Source organism: Homo sapiens, chromosome 7 (assembly GCF_000001405.40).
Source record: "Homo sapiens chromosome 7, GRCh38.p14 Primary Assembly".
NCBI classification, from domain to species: domain Eukaryota; kingdom Metazoa; phylum Chordata; class Mammalia; order Primates; family Hominidae; genus Homo; species Homo sapiens.
The window spans coordinates 108,781,381-108,798,992 of record NC_000007.14 but is presented as its reverse complement, the minus strand read 5'-3'; the positions used below and the strand labels follow the sequence as shown (position 1 = coordinate 108,798,992).

General features: G+C 35.4%; 1 long non-coding RNA gene across 1 annotated transcript in view; it reads right to left on the bottom strand.

The window, feature by feature from the left end:
• Positions 1-15,071, bottom strand: part of LOC107986836 (uncharacterized) — a 57,428-nt gene extending 42,357 nt beyond the window's left edge. Inside the window, exons 1-2 of the long non-coding RNA XR_001745322.1 lie at positions 14,791-15,071; positions 3,968-4,063 (exon numbers count right to left, since the gene is read on the bottom strand). This is a non-coding gene — a long non-coding RNA (uncharacterized LOC107986836). The remainder of the gene's footprint in view (positions 1-3,967; positions 4,064-14,790) is intronic.
• Between the last annotated feature and the right edge of the window lie 2,541 nt (positions 15,072-17,612).

Sequence of the window (17,612 nt, the reverse complement as noted above, 5' to 3'; positions counted from 1 at the left end):
CTCAGTATCCTCCCTCTTCTACCTCTTGCCAGACCTTTTACTTGCAGCTGCTTCACTGCATATATATCTTATAAAGTGCTTTAGGAATAAAGCACTCTCATTAATTCTCTGTTCACTCACTTCAGGATTTATTCCACCTACTACTAATAAACTGGTATGATTTATGATATGCAGTTTACTTTCACCCATTATAGGCATCTAAGACAAACTCTGAAGGCTTTTCAAACACTAATCAAAACCTTACTAAAGCTGAGCCCTGCTCTGTTCCTAATAATTTCACAAAATACCTTAGAGAGAAGCAAGTTTCAAAGACAGCAGAAAATTCCTTTCACACTGTACAAGGGCTTCTCCCTAAGAGACACTCACACTGCTCCACTCACGGAATAGGCTTCAGTTGTTTTGTCTTTTTTTTTCATACATATCTCAAATTCATATTCAACCTTCTACCCATCTTTTCACACACAAGTCATAATACCTACTTCAGAATATGTTTTCTAAATGCCTCCAGAGGACTGGTTTTTCACATACATCAGTGAGTGTTTAGGTGTAGTCACTACCTCAAGGCAGGTAGATGTACTAACTGACTTGTAAATTCATTTCCTATGTGTCATAGTTTAATTGCATTCTCAAAGAGACCAGTGGATGAGATTTTAGGTGTTTAGTGTAGGTCTCTATATTCTTCTTTGGCCACTTCTAGCCTTCCCCAACACCCAAATTGGGGCCATATTTTCCATGTAACTGAATTAGGGAAGACTGATGGAAGAGGAAGTTTTGAAAGGAAGAGACAAGTTTGAGAAGCTTTTGAGAAAAATCCAGAGGGAGTTAGAGATCTCCCTTTGAGATCCATGGAAAAGTTGAAGGGCTAGAGATAAGACTTTCTAAGCAGAAAGAGAATCTCTGTTTTATTTTAAGAGAGATCCCTGATGTTTGCCAGGTAGGGAAAAATGGCTCAGATAACATTGTATCCTATTTCCTCCAAATTGGCACTAAGCAGCTCCAATGTCAGGACCTGTCATAAATGACAAAGATTAGTACTAGTTTTACAAGGATTAACATCAAAAAATAGCTCCAAGCCTTGAAGAGTCTCACTTTGCCACCAGAAACATAGACTAGATTAAAACAAATGGTGATGAGATTTCAGATGATAAGTTCTCATCCGTGAGATGAAAATAAATGGGTTCAATTTAATCAAGTGAATAGTTGTTTCTCAGCTCATTTTTCCCCTTTATTCAGCTTTCAAGCCAATATGAATGACTAGGGAGGGTGCTGGGAACAGGTCAAGAAAATTAATAGTAAATCTGAGCTTTGAAAACATAAGGAAAGTAAAATTCATAGTACAAAAGGGAAGAAATGGAATTCCCATAAAACGTGATATGATTTGGCTGTGTCCCACCCAAATCTCATCTTGAATTGTAAATTCCCATAATCCCCAAGTGTCAAGAGAGGGACCCTGTGGGAGGTGATTAGATTGTGGGGGCAGTTTCCCCCATACTGTTCCCATGATAGTGAGTGAGGTCTCATGAGATCTGATGGTTTTATAAGCATCTGGCATTTCCCCTGCTTGTACTTCTCTCTCCTGCCGCCATGTGAAGAAGGTCCTTGCTTTGCCTTCACCTTTGGCCATGATTGTAAGTTTCCTGAGACCTCTCCAGCCATGTGGAACTGTGAGTCAATTAAACCTCTTCCCTTTATAAATTACCCAGTCTCCAGTAGTATTCTTTGTAACAGTGTGAAAGTGGACTAATACAAAAGGTACTTTTTAAAAAATGGTTATTTCTATTTATGAAAACTATTTTCCAAAAAGTAACACAGGACAAGTCCTGCTTTTCTTTGATAAGCTATTAATGATGCCATCTTACAACCATTCACCAACAAAATGTCCTTAGTAAAGACATTTTCTAGTTCTGTAGTTTATAAGTTTATAAATGGATCTGGGCTTCCATATTAAAACTCTTATTAAGCAAATCATTGTACTCTGTAACAGGGTTCTTGGCTCTCTCCAGAAAGCACAGCCCCCGCGTAGAATGCTATGGAAATTGACTGCCCAACTTTACATGATCTTATCCCACTAGTGCTTAGCATTAGGAGGCAGCATGATGTGATATCAGGAATTTAGGCTCAGGAGTCCAGAAACAGGGGTTCTATCTCTATGTCCAACTGGAAAGTGATTTCACGTGGTTACGATCTCTTTGATATCAGTTTCTTCATCTGTTTTTTTTTTTTTTCTAATTTGTATGTCTTTCTCAAACTCTTAAAAACTTGTTTTTCTTGTTACAAAAGAATTTGGGTTGATTATATTTATCATAACCAGTTAACAACACTTGATAAAAGTGCTTTACTTTAAAAAGCCAAGATACATAATTACTGTATATTATTAACTCTTCATATTCTAAGCTATCTTTAATTGTAACCATAGTCATGCTGATTAATATAAATGGTAGATCATGTAATTTCTTTTTTGTTATTATTTTTGAGATGGAGTCTCCCTCTGTCACCCAGGCTGGAGTGCAGTGGCATGATCTCGGCTCATTGTAACCTCTGCCTCTTGGGTTCAAGCAATTCTCGTGCCTCAGCCCCCCAAGCAGCTAGGACTACAGGCACACGCCACCACGCCCAGCTACTTTTTTGCATTTTTAGTCAAGATGGGGTTCCACCATGTTGGCCAGGCTAGTGTTGAACTCCCGACCTCAGGTGATCCACCCGCCTCGGCCTCCCAAAGTGCTGGGATTACAGGCATGAGCCACCATGTCCAGCCATAATTTCTATCTCATATTTAGGCTAGTTAACATGTTCAAAAGGACTTTGCTCTTTCTAAAGTCTTAATTTCCATATGAATTATATAGCCCTTTGTTAGCAGCTGCTCTACTGTAATATCTTTCTTGGAGCACGTAGGTGTGATGGTATTAAGACCCACAAAATGCACAGAGAGATAAATATCCTGTTAGCCTATTCCAGTCATATGGTATTTCTTCCTGTGGTGAACATTTTCTGAAGAGTCATTAAAACACTATTTTCCCTGCATAACTAATAGCAGCATGGGGTTAAATCAAGTGAATAAATGACTAAATGGAGATGATTTTCTTAGAGAAATTGTTTTCTCATATTTATCTAAAGCCTGTGAATTGTCTGGTATTTGTCTGACCCATCATCATTTTTTTAAATTATGAAATAAACAACACATGTGCATACTTCCACTCATTTACATATTATACCAAAGAGAAATAGACATGATGTCTTAACTGAAAAATCCTAAATTGTAGCACAAATCTAAAGTTCTAGAAAGCGAATTAGGTAATTAACTTCAAACAGTAATATTCCTTGTGTTTTATAGGGCACAGACCTTACCCTGACATTGCTATTTATTAATTAATTCATTCATTCAAGCACCTGTTAAAGTATAGGGATGCTGAGAAAATAAAAAGATAGTCCCTAGGATAAAGGATTCCTCAATTTATGACAAAGTGGACATGTATTCAATATTGCATGTTAAGTTTCATAATAAAGGTATGTCCTAGGGACTAGGTCCTGCGGAAGAAAGCATCTCTGTTGAATATTTTTCATTTGTCCTTCCAGATCCCCTTTCCATGCACCTCCACAGTGTTCAGTGCTCCCAGGACACAGACCTTATAGCTACTTTAACAGCCTTACCTTCTAGCCTCAGGTTGAGTTCAGACAATAAAAGAAAGTAAGCAAAGGGTGCAAGGACACTGAGCAAAGGATATTTATCCCCCAGTTCCTCCTTGAGGGATAGCTGCAGGCTGTACAACAGACCACATCTCCTGTTAGGTGGTCCTTTCCAGGATAAGCCATAAGACGTTACCTCCTCTTTCCCCATCAGGCCTAGGGGTAATAATAGCACCAAGCTATTGCTACTGCCGGGGTTCTGTTCTACTTTTGTGGGTTTCCCTTAATCCTGTCTAAACCTTTGTAAATAATCCCTTTATAAAATCCTCCTCAAATTACTCACCTGAGTGTGCCACCTGTTTCCTGCTGGTTTCTTGATACATCACCCAACCCAGAGCAGGCTGGGAAGGATCACAGTGAGGAAGACAAAGTGTATGACCTGGTCATAAAGAAAAAGTAAAAGTTAGATAGGAGAAGAAAGGGGTTGGAGAATGGACTTTGAAAGTGGAAGGAATTGCATTTGCAAAAATATAGAGGACAGGGAATATTTAATATATCTGAAACACCAGGAGTCATTGGGAAAGCAGTGAAATAGACATCCAAAGAGGTACCCGTAGGGCCTACAGTGCTGTTCAAGGGAATTTGGGTCTCACTATGAATGTCATTCATCCTTGAAGCATTTTGTTCAGTGCAGTTTCAAAAGGTCACAATGGTGGCATTTTGGAAGACAGAGGGGAGAGAAGTGAAACTGGAGAGAGTGTGTTATCACCTTATTACAATTATCATGATACAGTTGAAAAGTGATGCACATCTGGACTAAGGTCATGCTAGAGGGGATTGAAAGAAGGAAATGAAGAGGCATATATTTGATAGCACTTAGTGACCAGTTATATGCTGAGACAAAAGTAATAAGATATACTGATTCAGATGGCTGGAAAAAAATGATATTTTTTGGGGACTTCTTACATGCTAGGCACTATTCTTAGAGCTTGACATGTATTAACTTGTTTTTGTCCTCCCAGAAACTCCTAAAAAAACAATATTTTTATTCCTTTTTTTCAAATATAGAAACCAAGATACAAAGAGCTTAAGCAACTTGCCCAAAGCTACACAGGTAGTAAGTAGAGAAGATTATAGGAAAAGGAGTTAGGAGAGGATGCTGAGAGAGATTATGAGATCAGATTGTAATACTTTAGTCTCTGATGGTTTTGAGACATTCAAGTATAGAAGTCTGATAAGCAATTGGATATACTAGATTGGAAAGCAAACAATTTACAAACAAAATGATTAGATATATAAGCTTAAAGACCTTCAACACATTTTCTTCAAAACTGAAGTCTTAGGAGAAAATACGAGTTCCTGGGGAGAGTATGCAGAGTGAAATGCAGCTTGAGACTGGAGGCCAAGGCAACATCAACATTTAAGAAACAGAGTAAGAAAGGTATGAGAAGTAGACCCCACAATCCAATCCTGTCTTAAAACTCCTTGTTAATCTTCCAACTTTCCCAAAAGAGAATCATCTGCTCCAGAGAACTGTGTCTACTTCTCTTGAATTTTGCTTCTTCTGAGTAGCTCCCTTTGGAGGATGCCACCCCAAAATTCCACTCATCCAAACATTTATCTTAGGAATAGTCTTAGGGATTATCTCAAATCCTAATGCCTCACTGGAATTTGGTCTCAATTATCTGAATCTAGAAATTGCCTATCAGACTTTTCTGTTACACTCAATGGGATTCTCAGTTTCTTTCGTGGATATTTATCTTTGCTATTGCCTATCTTTGCTTTTTTATGTACTAATATAACTCAAAATATATAACAGACTGTGTAAATGAGGAAACATGCTGCTTTTTATATTCATTGCTTCCAGAATAGTGTCATGAATATGGTGAAGATTTGGTAAATAGTGTATACTTGCTCATTTGGTGTTGACAAGGACGAGATATAATCCTTGTTAGCAAGTACATTGTCTGCTAAGTCTCTGGGAAAAACTATCACACGGTTTGAAATCTTTTACTCCTTGCTACATTCTCTTCTCTTGTATGTCCAATCTCCTTGTGTTTACTGAGATCACCTTCTCTGAGGAAGTGTCCTAAGCTTTATACCCTTTCTGATCTGTTTCCTGTTCAAAGTCATCTGGCACAATCCCAGTCCCTCAGTACCATCAGTTTTGCAAATGGATGGCTGGCTAGCCCGACTTTTTTTTTCCTCTTCAGATAAAAAGTGAAATTTCCAGGCTCCATTTAGAAGCAATACACTAAACCTGCAAAGGTAATTCAGTGGCAGGAATTTAGGCACTATAGAATATATTTTGAGACAAGTAGTATTTGTTATTTTCTTCAACTCTTACTACATGCTTCTAGTTCATAAGTATTTCTAGAACCTTGATCTGAAACCTATTAAATTATTAAGGCATTTGGGGTATAATTGTCCCATACTATAAACTCAATGCTTTACCATTTCTCATCATGTGACTTCAAACCAATTTTAGAAATAGAGAGCAATTCATGTAAAACATGTACTAGGAAGAACATCCTGCTCAAATTTGTGCCCTCTCATATGTGTGGCATGAGTGAACCATCTACTTACCTCAACTTTGAATTCTATAAATTTTAATGTCTAAAATATGTGTAAGTTCAAAAATAATGTTTTCTTTGTCCTTAAGATACATTTTTATGTGATCTTTTATTTTTCAGTATAATTGTACATGGGTTATTAAAATAGGATGTGTAAATGATAATATTAATAAAATATTAATTTGTTCTCTAATAATAGTCTCCAACTGATAGGCAAATGCTAGGAAAGACGTATTGACATTATTTCTGAAGCAGTTACAGCTCATTACAAGAACAGCAAAATCTTCTTTTTTTTCCAAAATAACAGCACAGTTCCAAAGATAATCATCCATTTGACTTTCACCTACAGAAAGGGATGATATCAATGACTATAAGTAGCTCTACAATTAATAAATTTTCTATTAAGTGCCATTTCTCACTAATTAGTTTTCCATTTTGGGAACTAAATTTCTCACTAATTATGTTTTATCTTTTAGGGAATAAACTCAACATTTAAATAATCCATATGGGTATATCTGCTTTAAATATCCACATAGATAGGCATGGATTTTGAAAAGCTCTATGTGCTTGGAAGCAGATTTGAGTTTTATCTCCATTACTTGCCAGCTTCAGTTATTAATTCTCACCTGTAAACTGAGGACCTTAGTAATGTGTAAATCACAAGACTACAAAGATTCAATTAGTTGCTAAGTGTAAAAACTAAAGTGTTCTTAATTGGAAAACCCCTGTATAAATATAAAACTTACTAATATTATTCAAATATTTAAAGAGCTTAATAATGTAATATGATATAATGGAGGGAAAGTGAGTTTCGGAGTTCAACACCACTCTCTACTCACGGCATTTTAGAGCATTCACTTAATATCTAAATGCCAAAATCCCATCATTGAAGTTCCACTGCCACTAAGGATGCAGAAAGCTACAAGATAATATCACTTAAGCCATTGTTTCCAATAACAATTAAAAGCTGTATAATTTATAAAATCATAATATTTTGTGAGCCTATCAGAGAATTGAAGCCACTAGGCACCCAAATAAACAAATTCCAGAGAGACAAGCCCCTCTTGGGGGTAAACAGGAAACACAAATTGTTTCACCTTTAGCAGAGCATAGAGGAAGGAGTGACTACTATACAAGCAGGTAAGAAGAGAAAAGACAAAAGATAAAATTTTAAGGGGCTAGCACGAAAGTTTAAAATAACTGTGATAAATTCACAGTTTAGAATAACACAAAAATGATTGGAGAATGGTAGGAAACTGGGAGAGTCCACTAGCATGCTAAGTACACTACTGTAAGGTTCTTCTACTGTACAGAAAGCAGAGCAACAAGTAATTATTTTTAAAGGTGGTATAACTACTAAGTCTCCTTAATAGAGCCATTGTGACTGGTGTGTGGTGATATCTCACTGTGGTTTTGATTTGCATTTCTATAATGATTAGTGATGTTGAGCATTTTTTCATATGCTTGTTGGTTGTGTGTTTGTCTTCCTTTGAAAAGTGTCTGTTCATGTCCTTTGCCCAATTTTCAATAGGATTATTTGTTTTTTGCTTGTAGATTTGTTTAAATTCCTTATAGATTCCAGATATTAGATCTCTGTTGGATGCATAATTTGCAAATATTTTCTCCTATGCTGTAGGTTGTCTGTTTGCTCTGTTGGTAGTTTCTGTTGCTGTGCAGAAGATCTTTAGTTTAATTAGGTCCCGTTTGTCAATTTTTGGTTTTGTTGCAATTGCTTTTGAAATCTTTGCCAGTTCCTATGTCCAGAATGGTATTGCCTAGGTTATCTTCCAGGGTTTTTATTCTTTTAGGTTTTACATTTAATTATTTAATCCATCTTGATATGATTTTTGTATATGATGTAAGAAAAGGTCCCAATTTCAATCTTCTGCATATGGCTAGCCAGTTATCCTAGCGCCATTTATTGAATAGGGAATCCTTTTCCCATTGCTTGTTTTTGTCAACTTTGACAAAGATGAGATGGGGTAGGTTGCAGCATTACTTCTGGGCTCTCTATTCTGTTCCATTGCTTTCTGCATCTCTTTTCATATGAGTATCATGCTGTTTTGGTCACTGTAGCCTTATAGTACAGTTTGAAATGAGGTAACATGATGCTTCCTGCTTTGATCTTTTTGCATAGGATTGCCTTGGCTATTTGGGCTCTTTTTTGATTCCACATGAATTTTTAAATAGTTTTTTTCTAATTCTGTGAAGAATATCATTGGTAGTGTGACAGGAATAGGACAGAATCTGTAAATTGCTTTGAGCAATCAAAAAATAACAGATGCTGATGAGGTTGCAGAGAAAAGGGAATGCTTATACTCTGCTGGCGGGAATGTAATTTCATTCAGCCATTGTGGAAAGCAGTCTGGCAATTCCTCAATGAACTTAAAACAGAATTACCATTTGACCCAGAAATCCCATTATTGGGTATATGCCCAAAGGAATAAATATCATCCTACAATAAAGAAACAAATGCATGCATGTATTTACTGCAACACTATTCACAATAGCAAGGACATGGAATCAAACTAAGTACCCATCAATGATAGAATGGATAAAAAAAAATATGGCACATATACACCATGGAATACTATGCAGACATAAAAAGGAATGAGATTATGTCCTTTGCAGCAACATGGATGGAGCTGGAGGCAATTATCATAAACAAACTAATGCAGAAACAGAAAACCAAATACCACATGTTCTCACTAATAAGTGGGAACGAAACAATGAGAACATATAAACATAAAGAAGGGAATAACAGACACCAGAGCCTTCTTGAGAGTGAAGGGCAGGAGGAGGGAGAAGATCAAAAACTACCTATCAGACACTATGCTTATTACCTGGGTGATTAAAAAATCTGTACTCCAAACCCCCCATGACACACAGCTTACCTATATATAACAATAAGTCTCCACATGTACTTCTGAACCTAAAATTAAAGTTAAAGAAAAACTCATAAGCCAATACTAGAAATAAAATGCAATCATAAAAAAATACATTTATCAAAAAAAGTGAGAAATGAAAAATAAACAAAAAAAGAATATATAGGACAAACAGAAAACTATTTAAAAGGTAGACTTAAGTCAAACTATATCAAAAGTTACACTAATTGTAAATGGCCTAAATATCCCAATTAAAATATAGTGATTGTCATTTTGAATAAAAAACTGAACGCTGTCTATAAGAAACCCACTTTAAGTATAAAAATAAATAGGTTAACAGTAAAGGGATAATAAAAAATATACTATTTGTACATTAGTCAAAGAAAACAAATGTGCCTACACTGATACAAGACAAAACAGAATTCAGAACAAGGAATATTACCAGGAATGCACAGGAGCATTAAATAATGACAAATGGGACAATTTATCAAGAATATGTAACAATACTAAATGTGTATATATCTAATAATAGAGATTAATTTCATAAAGCAAAAACTGACAGAAGTGAAGAAAGAAATAGACAAATACACAGCTTTGTTGGAGACTTTAATACTTTTCTCAGTAATTGACAAACCAATTAGAGAGAAAATCAGTGAAGATATAATTATCAACCAACTTCACATCTATATATTAAATCCCACCCAACAATGTCAGAATATACATTCTTTTCATGTGTACATTTCACCAACATAGAACGTATCTGGAGCCATAAAAATGTCCACATGAATGAATAAACAAAATGTGGTATATACATACAATGAAATATTATTAGGCCTTTAAAAAGGAAGGAAGTTGGGCTGGGTACGGTGGCTCACGTCTGTAATCCCAGCACTTTGGGAGGCCAAGGCAGCTGGATCACGAGGTCAGGAGATCCAGACCATCCTGGCCAACATGGTGAAACCTCATCTCTACTAAAAATACAAAAATTAGCCAGGCATGGTGGTGGGTGCCTGTAGTCCCAGCTACTTGGGAGGCTGAGGCAGGAGAATCACTTGAACCCGGGAGGCGGAGGTTGCAGTGAGCCGAGATTGCGCCACTGCACTCCAGCCTGGTGACAGAGCAAGACTCCATCTCAAAAAAAAAAAAAAGGAAGTTCTGACACATGCTACAACATGTATGAACCTTGAGGACATACTGCTAAGTGAAATGAGCCAATCACAAAAGTATAAATATTGTGTGATTACACTTATATGAGGTATCTAAAGTAGTCAAATTCTATTAAGATGGTAGTTGCCAATAGCTGAGAGAAGGGGTCAGTAAGAAGTTATTGTTTATGGGCAGAGTTTCAGTTCTGAAAGATAAGAAGAGTTCTGTGGATGAATGATGGTGATGGTAGCACAACAATGTAAATATATTGGAATGCCATTGAACTGTACATTTAAAGATGGTTAAAATGGCAAATTTGGTGTTATATATATTTTGCTGTTTTTTAAAATGAGAAATGTGAAAACATCCAAATTGTATTCTCTGACCAAAACAGGATGACATTAGAAATCAGTAACAGAAAGCTATCTAGAAAACCAAAAATGTTCTGGAAATTACCCAGCATAATTTTAAGTACTTCTATGTATCAAAGAAAAATCACAAGGGAAATTAGAAAATACCTTAATTGACTGAAAATGAAAGCACAACGTATCAAAATCTGTGGAGCACAGCTAAGGCAGTGATTAGAGGGGGATTTATACTATCAATTGATTACATTAGAAAAGCAGAAAGTTCTCAAATCAATAATAGAAGCTTCTACCTTATGAAAATAGAAGAGGAAGAACAAATTAAAACCAAAAAAGTAAAAGTTGGGAAGTAATAAAAATAAGACTAGCAAGCAATACAATTAAAAATAGAAAAACAATAGAGAAAATTAATAAACACAAAAGCTAGTGTTCTTTTTACCAGTCTTCAAAGAATTTTTTTCTTTTCAACTTTTAAGTTCAGGGGTACATGTGCAGAATGTGCAGGTTTGTTACATAGGTAAACATGTGCCATGGTGGTTTGCTGCACAGATCATCCCATCACCCAGGTATTAAGCCCAGCATCCACTAGCTAGTCTTCCTGATCCTCTTCCTCCTCCTACCATCAACTCTCTGACAGTTCCCAGTGTGTGTTGTTCCCCTCTATGTGTCCATGTGTTCTCCTCATTTATCTCCCACTTGTAACTAAGAACAGGCAGTATTTGGTTTTCTGTTCCTGCATTAGTTTGCTAAAAATAATGGCCTCCAGCTCCATTCATGTCCCTGCAAAGGACATGATCTTGTTCTTTTTTATGGCTGTATGGTATTCCACGGTGTATATGTATCACATTTTCTTTATCTAGTGTATCACTGATGGGCATTTAGGTTGATTCCATGTCTTTGCTACTGTGAGTAGTGCTGCAATAAACATACATGTGCATCTGTCTTTATAATAGAATGATTTATAGTTTTTTGAGTATATACCCAGTAATGGAATTGCCAGGTTGAATAGTATTTCTTTTTTAGGTCTTTGAGGAATTGCTACACTGTCTTCCACAAAGGTTGAACTAATTACACTCCCACCATCAGTGTACAAGTGTTCCCTTTTCTCCAAAACCTCACTAGCATCTATTATTTTTTGACTTTTTAACAACAGCCATTCTGATTGGTGTGAGAAGGTATCTCGTTGTGGTTTTGACTTGCAATTCTCTAACGATCAGTGATATTGAGCCTTTTTTCATATGCTTGTTGGCTGCATGTATATCTTATTTTTAAAGTGTTTGGTTTGTGTCCTTTGCCCTTCTTAATGGATTTTTTTTTTGTTATAAATTTAAGTTCCTTACAGTTGCTGGATATTAGACCCTTTTCAGATGCATAGTTTGCAAAAATTTTCTCCCATTCCATAAGTTTTCTGTGCACTCAGTTGAAAGTTTTCTTTGCTGTGCAGAAGCTCTTTAGTTTAATTAGATCCCATTTGTCAATTTTAGCTTTTGTTGCAATTGCTTTTAGCATCTTTGTCACGAATCTTTGCCTGTGCCTATGTCCTGAATGGTATTGCCTAGGCTTTCTTCAAGGGTTTTTATAGTTTGGGGTTTAAGTATTTAATCCATCTTGAGTTGATTTTTGTATATGGTGTAAGGAAGAGGTCCAGTTTCAATTTTCTGCATACGGCCAGCTAGTTCTCCCAACACCATTTATTAAATAAGAAATCCTTTTCCCATTGCTTGTTTTTGTCATGTTTGTCAAAGATCAGATGGTCGTAGGTGTGCAGTCTTATTTCTGGGTTCTCAACTCTCTTCCATTGGTCTATGTGTCTGTTTTTGTACCAGTACCATTCTATTTTAGTTACTGCAGCTTTGTAGTATAGCTTGATGTCAGGTAGCATGAAGCCTCCAGCTTTGTTCTTTTTTGCTTAAGATTGACTTGGCAATTCAGGTTCTTTGGGGGTTTCATATGAATTTTAGAATAGCTTTTTCTAATTCTGTGAAGAATGTCAATGATATTTTAATGGGAATAGCTTTGAAGCTATAAATTGCTTTGGGCAGTATAGCCATTTTCACAATATTGATTCTTCCTATCCATGAGCAGGGAATGTTTTTTCATTTGTTTTGTGTCACCTCTGATTTCTTTGAGCAGTGATTTGTAGTTCTCCTTGAAGAGGTCCTTCACTTCCCTTGTTAGCTCTATTCCTAAGTATTTTATTCTTTTTGTGGCAGTTGTGAATGGGAATTCATTCATAATTTGGCTCTCTGCTTGTCTGTTCTTGGTGCATAGGAATGCTAGCGATTTTTGCACATTGACTTTGTATCCCAAGAGTTTGCTGAAGTTGCTTATTAGCTTAAAAAGCCGGTTGGTTATTTTTAAAGATTGACAAAACTGATCAACTTCTAGAATTGTTAATCAAAATGAAAACTACTAATATTTTATAGGAAGAGGGGACATCACTGCATATTACATAGTTAAAGGCATATAAAGAAATTATTATGAACAACATAATCCCAATAATTTTGATAAATAAAATAGCAAAATTCCTTGAAAGGTACAAACGACCAATCATCACTCAGGAAGGAATAGATAAACTGAATATCCCAATGTTTATACAATAAATTTAAATTGTAGTCTAAAAATCTTTCCATAAGGAAAACTCAGCCCATATAGCTTCACTGTTCAATTCTATTAAATAAAAAATAAATAAATAATACCAATTTCCTTAAATCTTCCAGGAGACATAGCAAAGGGAATACTTCTCAACTCATTTTATGAGGCTGATATTACCCTGATACAGAAACCAGACAGAGATATTAGAGGAAAATAAACTATTCATAGACACAGATGTAAAAATCCATACAAAAATATTAGCAAATAAAATTTAATATATTTTGAAGAGTGGGCCTGACCTCAGTAATGCAATGATTATTCAACATTTAAAAATCAGTCCATTTAATTCTTTATGTCAGCAGTCTACAAAAGGGAAAACCATATGATCATCTCAATAGATGTCCCAGACAAGGCATTTACCATAATTTAGTATCTATTCATGACATTCAGAAAACTAAAAGGGTGCTGACTTAGAAATAAATTTAATGAAATATGAGTACACTGTATATACTGGAAACTAGAAAATATTGATGAGAGAAATTAAAGAAAACCAAAACTAATAGTTATATTTATGGGTTGGAAAACTTATTATCATTAAAATGTCAGGTCCAAATTGATATATAGATTCAACAGAATGTTTTTTAGAAATTAACAAACTGATTATAAAATTTATATAGAAATGCAAACCAAAACAATTTTTAAAAGAACAGTGTCAGAAGACTAACACTTCCTAATTTAAAGATTAGTCTAAAGCTAAAGTAATTATTGGTCTAAGGACACATACATATAGATCAATGGAAAAGAATAGAGAATTCAAAAACAGACCCACAGGTATGCGCTCAATTTATTTTTGATAAAATTGCTAAAGAGATACATAAATAAGGAAAGAATTACCTTCTAAGCAATATCACTGGAACATCTATATGCAAAAAAAAAAAGAAAGAAAGAAAGAAAGAAAAGAAAAAGGAAAAGGAAAGGAAAAATGGTTCTTGACCATTACCTTGTACCATATGTAAAAATTAAAATGGATCATATACCTAAATGTGAAACCTAAAACTAAAAATATTTTAAAAGAAAATATTGAAGAAGATCTTTGGGGCTTTAGGTTAGGCAAAGATTTCTTAGGTAAAACATCAAAAGCACAACCCATAAAAAAATAGATAATGGAGACAATCAAAATTTTAAAACTTCTGCTCTTTGAAAAATTATATTAATAAAATTAAAAGGCAAGTCACACACTGAGATAAAATAATGCAAAATGTATAACAGGTATTCAGACTGAAGATTCTGACAACTTATTAATAAGAAGACAACCCAATAAAAATGCACAAAACATTTTAACTGTTCACCAAAGAAGAAATATTGATGACAAATAAGTACATGCAAATATATTATTATTCTTTGGTGAAATGCAAATTAAAACCATAATTTGATATCATTCTACACTTAACTATCATGGCTAAAATTAAACAAACTGACAATACCACTTGCTGGAAAGGATACAGAGCAACTGGAAATCATAAACAGTGCTAATGGAAATTTAATATGGTACAGTCACTTTGGAAAACTGTCAGATGCTTATAAAGTTAAACATACACTTACCATGTGGGTCAGCAATGCCAACCCTAAGTGTTTACGCAAGAGAAATTAAAACACATACATGTCCATGCAAAGACAAGCACACAAGTAATATGTATTGAGTCCTAAGAATATTGTATATACTTCTCCTTTTTGCAGATGTGGGCTCAATAATGTGATTTTTAAATATCTTCTAGACTACTAGATCTTTGGTAAAGGAAAACTCATGCAAGACTTGATGTTGGACTATTTTCTATCTAGAGGTACTGAAGAACAGTTCTGCAGGAAAGAGTAACCCAGACTCTAACTACACCACTGTGACATCACTTTCAGTGGAACGGAACAGAGAAAGAATATTAAGGGAGAGAAATTTGCAGGCTAGAAAGCTCAAGGTTACTTTGGTATGTGAAAGAGAAACTAATTTTGAGAGCTTAATTCTCTTTGATATCAAGGTTTTTATTCTTCCTTGACAACAAGCAGCCTGGAGTGAATAGATGGCATATAATATAGTATGGCCTTGAAATGAATACTCTGCTTTTCACCCATCTCTTTAGACCATAAGGCAGCATTAAAAAAGCAGACACACTTAGGTGGCGGTCGAACTTCCCTGACACTTCTCTATTTCTTCCTCCAAGGAAATATCCACATGTTTGATTAATTATACAGTTGGGTTTAAGTCTAATGGTTGAAAGAAAGAACCAAAGATAGTGGAATATAAGTATACGAGATGGAAACCTCTCTAGGCTTCATCCTTGCATTTTTCTTCTTTGGGCTGTCCTCAAAGAAGATGTTAATCTGACTCTAAGGCAGGGGTTAGGTGTGTTTACTAGTGAACAGAGTCACTGTATTTAAATTAATAAATAAAAGAAGAGTTCATACATTTGACCATTCTTTCACTCTGACACTTTCTTTTATCTTTCCCTGCAAGAGCACAGTAAGCCCTCAAGCTTGAACTAGGAGGCAAGGAAAAGTCCATGTTATAAGAACTCTGTGTTAGAATTTCAGAAACAAGCCCAGCCAGTAATAAAGTGTTTCTTCACTTTTATGGTGATATCCCTAGTGTGCGTATCTCTCCTAGGACCAAAGAAAGGATTAGCTGTAATTTGGGGCAGGTAATTTTGGCATAACTGTGAGTACATTTGGCATACTAATGCCACATAATTATGTTAGTATAATCAAAACCACACTAAGATTTCCAATATATATCATAATAAAATTAAGAGAGAATGTTTTGACTATTGATATAGCATATTTGTTACCAGATCTAGGCATATATCTATCTACATAATCATTAAAAGTTTTAGAAGAATTAGTATTTATTGGAAATCTACCAAACGCCAAGGGATTTCTACCAGTAGCAACAATTTATTATTGATGTTTCACTATGTATCAGGGACTACACTGGGTGCTTAATATGCTGCACTGCGTTTAAATCTCACAATACCCCTATGGAGTAGAACTAATGCATTTTACAAGATGAACTAAGGGTTAGAGAAGCAAGGGCTAAGTTACCAAGTGGTAATCAGCAAATTGTGTCTTCAATTAAAGGCCCAATTTTCCCACTATGTCACATTGATTAGTTAAGCCATTTGAAATTCTCAAATAATATTAATAATTTAATAACTTACAAATGTATAGTAGTTTGTTCTTTAAAAACATCATAGCATCCAAGAATAACAGTCCTTGGAATTACACAGCCTTGCAAATAGTAGTTTCTTACTCCTCTTCGTCTAGCTCCATACAGCCAGTCAGTTTTCTCTTTGTATTTTGAGGTCCCTGTATTAAATGGATCCTTCATTTCTCAATGCAGAAAACTCCATGTTATGGTTTGAATGTGCCCCCCAAAATTTATGTGTTAGAAACTCAATGCACAGTGCAACAGTGTTGGGAGGTAGAATCTAATGGGAGGTGTTTAGGTCACGAGGTCCCCACTCTCATGAATGAATTAACATCATTGTATAAAGGGCTTGCAGAAATGAGTTCATAGTCTTACACTCTTATGCCCTGTGGGGACACAGGAAGAAGACCCTCATGAGATGCCAGCACTTTCGTCTTGGACTTCTCAGCCTCCATTAACTATGAGAAATAAATTTTTGTTCTTTATAAATTACTTAGTCTTTGATTATTTTGTGACGGCCACACAAAACAGACAGATGTTTCATCTTGCTATGAGGCACATCACTTCCCAAACATAAGTCTCCATGTAGGTGTTCCCACTCTATCACAGAAAGCTACACTAGTAAACATGCCATACTAACCATATTAAAAATATGTAATGTCTGTGTTTTTCCACCACCTCCAGACCCAGTATAGGACTTTACCACTGCAGTATGCTGAAAGTCATATCCAACACACATTCCAAAATCCTGCAGTAGATGAAGCAAAAGGAATTTTCTTCCAAGGTTAATGTCAAGGTTGCCTAGATAAAACAGGGCCAAAGCTTTAAGTCCAGATATGGCCGGAACATCAGAGAGCAGAAAACAGATGGGTAACTTTACTCCCAGAAATCTGGACAAAGCTCTTTGACAAAGAAGAAGGAGAAAGAAAATATATGATGAAATCTGGCCAGGATTATTCTGATAGTGCACCCTGGATCAGCTTATCGCTTCAGCTGCATTGGGCAAGAAGAAGAAAACGCACAAAATGTATGTATGTAATTTTCAATGTGCAGTGTCCAATTTGCACACTAGCAAATACTGCCTAATCAATGCCCTGAATTTTAGCAACTAAATTATCATTCCCTAGTTTGGGGAAGGATTAAAGATGGAGGGTAAATGAGAGAAGCCTACAGAGATTTCACACTAAGACACCAACATTATATATTTAGTAAAAAATTTATAAGGAGT